At 38.6% G+C, this 6,275-nt stretch overlaps 1 long non-coding RNA gene across 2 annotated transcripts in view; it reads left to right on the plus strand.

The window, feature by feature from the left end:
- LOC105371261 (uncharacterized) overlaps window positions 1–6,275 on the plus strand; it is a 29,761-nt gene that overhangs the window by 11,946 nt on the left and 11,540 nt on the right. For both annotated transcript variants that reach the window (XR_933564.1, XR_007065213.1), the window contains one exon: window positions 3,246–3,287. This is a non-coding gene — a long non-coding RNA (uncharacterized LOC105371261). The remainder of the gene's footprint in view (window positions 1–3,245; window positions 3,288–6,275) is intronic.

The raw sequence follows: 6,275 nt of genomic DNA on the forward strand, positions 1-6,275 counted from the left end.
TAAAACAAAGGCACCTCATTCAAAGCAGGCTATAATTGCAGTCTTTCAGCAAAACAGCATTTACCAAAACATGTCCTTTAGAATGTGGTACAATTTATCACCCCCACGGTGCATGACACATAATTACATTTGTCACCGCTTTAATTGGATGTTACATGTCAGTAATGACTCATCAGCCCCAGAAGTTATGAAAGATGAATTCTCACTACCATACTTTAGAATTTGCTCCAAAAATAAAACTAAAGAAGAGTTTATTTCTCACTCGGGGTAGAAGCTACATTTGGGAGAAAAACTAATCTGTGCTTTAGAAAAATAACTATGTATTTCATTTATTGACAGCAAGATGATTGCCTGCAATGTTTCTCATTACCCCTAGATCACAAATGAGTAAATCACTGTCAGACAAACCAAGGTTAAAACTGTGTGTGTATATTTTAACATGATGCAAAAAAAAAAAATTAAAAAACCTCCATCACTAGGAGAGAATTGTTAATTTAGAGAATTTTTCAGATTCTGTGATCTGATAAGCTCTGCAACCCAGTCATCGCTGAAATTAAATTAGGTTTCAGAAAATGAATATTTCATTTTTAAGATTCTGTTGCTTGGAGACCTGGGAAGACAAAGCTGGTTTAGCCCAAGACAGGAGAGATGTTATAAGGGGCAGCATTTTCTATGGGAAACTGCCAGAGAATGCCTAGGAAAAATCACACAACGGAGACAAACAATGATGATGGTACAAATGGATTCATTACAAATGCCACAATGCATGTTATTTCTTCTAAGCTGAAGAAGTCTCACTCTACCCTTCACCCGTGTTATTCAGACTTAAATTGGGAAAAATATCATCACACCGTAGACCCAATCTACCTACCTTTTGTTTTAACAGACTCAAGGGGGAAAAAAAGCAAAGCAAATGTAACCTCAGTGGCAAAGCAAAGGGTGCTTTCTCTACCAAGGATGTTCACTAAGTTATAGGGATATGTAAACCCAATTCTACATGTTGCTTAGGTCTATAGTCACCTGGCTACATGTATTTTAATCAGCATCATAAACATTGATTACACTCCTTTCACTATCAGTGAAGGTACATGGTTTTAAGAGATCTTCCACATTTTGGGTGTGGTGGAATGCTAATTGTTTCCCAGAATCTGTAATAGCAGAATCCCCTGAGCTTTACCTGGGTGCAAGATTACTCACCTGAAGATTACTTTTCCCAGCCTTGCTTGTAGGTAGGTGTGGCCATTGCACTGTGTTTGACCAATGAGATGCTGGCGGAAGCCAAGTTTGTAACTTGAGATTATATTTTTTACAAGGGGGCCCCTTCTTGTGAGCTGGAGTGGGAAGGTGATGGTGTGAGCCAGATTTAATCATGTGAAGCTATACGTAAGGCATGGCAGAGCAACACAAAGAAGTAACCTGGGTCCTTTAATCTCATGGAACAAAGTAAATTAATCAATCTGTACCTCCTGCCCAATTGTAAACTGTAAGGTGAGAGATAAATAAATGTTTATCCATTAGTCTGCACTGAGGGTATCTTTTTTATAGCAATATAGCCTGTACCCTAACTTTCAATTTTAATAGTCTCAAGAGATAGTTTTTCCTCCTATCATTTGTTTAAGTTTACCACCATTCTACCCACTCTGATTCTCATCTTCCTTTCTCAGTTCATTATAGTAGATACAAATTGGGGTTGCAACCTAACTTTTCAAGATCTTATCTGTGCCACCCCTTTTTTTTCGGTTACTGCTATCCCCTACCTAATCCCCACCCAGAATTTTAACGTGTGTTCCTAATGTGAAATGCATCTATCTATGTGACCCTGTCTCCATGATCACAGTGATTGCCTTAGAAATTGGCACATGCCACATGCAGGAACAGTCAGTTCTTTCCTAGGATCTTCCTCGGGAATGGGCACTTTCTCTCTTCTGAAATAGATTCCCTGACTTGTAAAGGACTTCTTACAGTGGGAAAGAATGAGGCTGATTTAAGGAAAGGAAGAAGACAAATCCCAGTGCTTGTCTCCAGTTATCCTAAGCCAGAGCCCTAAATTTCACAGGTCATTTAAGTCCCCCCAAAAATTATCTTGATATAGGCTAGTTTGAGCTGGCTTCTGTCATTAGCAAATAGAAGATTTCTGATTAATACTCTCTGGAAATTAATTTCATTATTGTGACACTGTCCTATTATACTTAAAACATCCAGGCTTTTGTGGTATTTTCCCCCAGAAGCATCAAGAAGCAAACAATCAATGATTTAGAAAACCCAATGTCATATAATATCTAGTTTTAGATATATTTCTTATATATGATTAAATTTCACTCTTTAAAGCATGGTTTTATTCTTCCAGGCTAAACATAAGTTGCTGCAATCCATAAATGTTACTCTAATTTTGTTCCTGCCATGCTACACCAAATGATCACTTCAAAGCAGCAGCTAGATCATAAGAGAAAAAAGTTTATTTCTGTTAGACTACTCAGCACATGACATGGAGGTTAACCACCTTGAGAAAGAAAAAAAAATCATAATGCTAAATCTAAAAGCACATGCCACACCATAAGAATGACTGCTCTTTTCAGTACATCTGAATGTTGGAAAACGAAAAGGTTGATCAGCTGTCTGTTCATAAAGTGAGGGCCATTTCACAGGCCAGGTTTGATTAAAGAATTAATCTCAGTGATCTAACTGAAACATTTTTTAAAAGAAATTGAAGGGGAAAGAGGCAGGCGCTTCTAACTTTAGAGTGGGGTACTCTGTGAATCTTACAGAGATGGATGTGACTGGCTGCATTAGTGGTGACTGGGTAGTTTCCATATTGCCAGTGCAGTATGATCATTTAAGATAAGGCACTCTCTTTGAATAACTGATGAACAGTAATTCTCCCTAGCAGACCGAGACTTAATTTTAATCAAATAAAAGTGCTTGCTGGAAAGGGTGTGAGAACCATTTCCGAGGTGTCAGAGCTCATGCGCAATACACATTTAAGGAAGAATTTCTTTCATGTTCTTTGACACCAAAGCTACTCCCAAGAATCAAAGTACAGAAAAATTCCTATGATGAATAGGGTCTGACAAGGGCCACCATATCAAAATTCTCTCTGCAGCTGCCAATCATCACTGACTGACAGAATAGACAGTCCCTGTTGCTAGAGCCTTAAAGACGAACTTATTTTTAATCTAATATCCAGTAGGAATATGTTCTAGCCTTCTACTATGATTTCGTGACTCATACTAATATTCTATTTTCAGCAAGGACTAAGAGACACCCCTAAGGAAGAAAAGTAGTAGTAGGTGAGTCATGGTTTTCCTTTTCCTGATAATTCTTAATTGTTCACAGCATAACTATTTTTCCTCGGATTATGTCTTTGTGGGTGTCTGCCAATTTACAAAGCTGGGTCAAGAAATGATTTACTTTTTTCTTCAATTAAGTAATGAGTAGTTATTGTGTAAATGAATGCATAGAATTGTTAGGCAGAATAGAAAGGAGAAAGTACTAGACATTCTTTTCTAAGAAGTTAATAATCCATTTGAGGGGAAGACAGAACTCGGAGTAGAAATCAATTTAAAACCTCAAAAGACAGCAGTCCACTTGAATGTACTTCTGCATAAGTGGAACAGACTGATATTTCTTAAATTTCAGTCGCATGCTTGATAATCTGATGCCATTTCTCTTGCTACTTTCATATGCCGCTGGAATTATTATTATTTACTCAGTGTTTTTATGTAAGTGAAATCATTTATTTTTTCCTTAAATAACCTCATAATCAAAGGAAACTTTAGATAACTACCATAAATGGAAACAGCCTTATTTGCCATGAATTAGAAAATATAAAAGCAAATATACTATTAGGCTGGTGCAAAAGTAATTGCGGTTTTTGCCATTGTTTTTAATGGCAAAAACCGCAATTACTTTTGCACCACTCTAATAAAAATAAAATAATGTTAAAGTTTCAGCTATGTTTGCCTGCTAAAGGGGCTGAGAACTACAATGCATCTGTAAAATCTCAAATCACTTTTCTTTCACCCAAAGTCATCATGGTACCACCAGTAATATGTGTCTCATACTTAGGGAGACATTACTTAAGAATAACAGTGAAAGGAATTCAGAAGAGGGAACAATCTGTGGGCCTGGTGATCTGCTAAGGCTTCATGGAAGATGCAAGATTTGAGTAGAGCTTGAATCCACAGTCATGGTTATCCAACTACTGGACCCAGGGGCAGAAATGATTTGGGCATTTAGAGAAAAGAGTTGAGACATGGGAGTAGTATACAAGTGATGCTAAGCTTGCTTTCTTAATCGACCATCATATCTGACCTAGGACTTCAAAAATGACGGCTGATTAACATTTACTAGTAGCTTACTCTGTTCCAAACACTAAGCTAGGCATTTTCGCATATTTCCTCTTTCGATCCTAATAATATAAGGAACCTGTTATTATCCTCATTTTATAGATAAGCAAACCAAGGCACAGACTAACTCAAGGTCACATAGCTTTAAAAGTAATTGAATTGGGGATTTCAATCCAGTTCCTTCTGTGTATCCAAAGCCCATATCTTCTACTTCATACTATGTTTACAGTGAAACTGTGAGGTGACAACCATTGGTCATTTCAGGCAGTTCTCATGAAAAGACTGTAGTGGAAGCTAAGAACGGAGAAGAGAGGAGGGAGCTTCTCCTTTGCTATGTCCCTAAATGACCTGAGTGATGGAAGCTAATAAACACCCAGGTAAACGTGAGCATTCCAGCATTTTCTTTGCTTCTGGAATGCCATAATTTGTCCTTCAGTAGTGAAAACAAGAGCTTCAAGTGAGTTCTCCCTACTCCGAAACTGGAAAATATCAGCTGTGCCTATCAGCAGCATCAGTGACCAAAAGTTGACCTTGCTTAGTTAATCAGTAGAGAAACTAATCAGTTGGAAAAATGCAAATTTGTTTTCTGCACAGAGTTGGAAACTCATTACCCTGAACCACTCCTTAAATTAAGTTCAGAGTAGTGACTCAAAATCTGGGTCAGATAAGGAACAATGTAAAGCTGTAATAAGCAGGCTTGAGAGCAGGAGCACTCTTTGAATCCCATCATTGAAGGCATTTGTGTTCATTTCTTCTTAGGCCCCTTAACTGTGTCTACAGAACAGAAAATGGCCAACTCAGTTTGGATTGGATTGTTTTTTCCTAGCTGTCCCATATTTATGTGGATGAAAATTTTCTTGTAATGCGTTTTAGTTTCAGTTTGAACAGTGCCCTCTGATCCTTTAGCCCAACTGTCAAACCTTAAGCTACTTTATCTTTCTAAACAAACGGTGGATTGCTATAACCTATTACCTGGGTCATCAGATTCCAGAGGTGAACATCTCATGGACTAACCCTGTCCCTTGCTACCTGGAACCCCTGGGTCACTGTGAGAAAGTAGAACTGTGTCTTTGTTTTTGAAATGCTAATTATGATTTAAAATCAGTGGCTGTCATTCAGCGCCCCAGTGGGACAAGCCAACAGTGGTACACCATTTCCTTTTCTCATTCCCCCCAAATGATAAAGCAACTTTAATAAAATTAGCCCTAGGCCGGGTGTGGTGGCTCATGCCTGTAATCCCAACACTTTGGGAGGCCTAGGAGGGCAGATCACTTCGAGGCTGGGAGTTTGAGACCAGCCTGGCTAACATGGTAAAACCCTGTCTCTACTAAAAATACAAAAATTATCTGGCTGTGGTGGCATACAGCTGTAGTCCCAGCTACTCGGGAAGCTGAGGCATGAGAATCGCTTGAACCCGGGCAGCAGAGGTTGCAGTGAGCCAAGATCAAGAAAATTAGCCCTGTCCCTCTGCACTTTTGCTAACTTCCCTTCCAGCATGCCTTGGAGAACATGTGATTGATTCCCAGGCACGTCAGTTCAGAAGGCATCTGCCAGAAAGTGGCACTGAGGAAGACATTTAATGCAATGCACAGTGTTTCTGTGCAGTAGGAGATTCTCTAAGTTAGTACTTCTGTTTTATAATGAAATCATCAGCAACAAGAAAGAGTTGTCTAGAACTTTGAAACAAAATGCCTTAGGATTCCAAATAAATGTTATTTTGACTAATGCATTCATTACTTTATGTACCTACTATGTTCCTGGCATCAGGCCAAGTTGCGGGAGGTTCAAAAGTTAATTGGCCAAAATACCTTGAAAAGCTCAAAATGGATCTCATAGGTGAGGCAGATGAATTGTGACAAGTGAGACAAGTGCAATGATAGAAGTGTCTACAGGTGCAACAGTGGTGCCATTTTCTCTTTCTCCCTCAAA

The sequence above is a fragment of the Homo sapiens genome, chromosome 16 (assembly GCF_000001405.40).
Source record: "Homo sapiens chromosome 16, GRCh38.p14 Primary Assembly".
Lineage (NCBI taxonomy): Eukaryota > Metazoa > Chordata > Mammalia > Primates > Hominidae > Homo > Homo sapiens.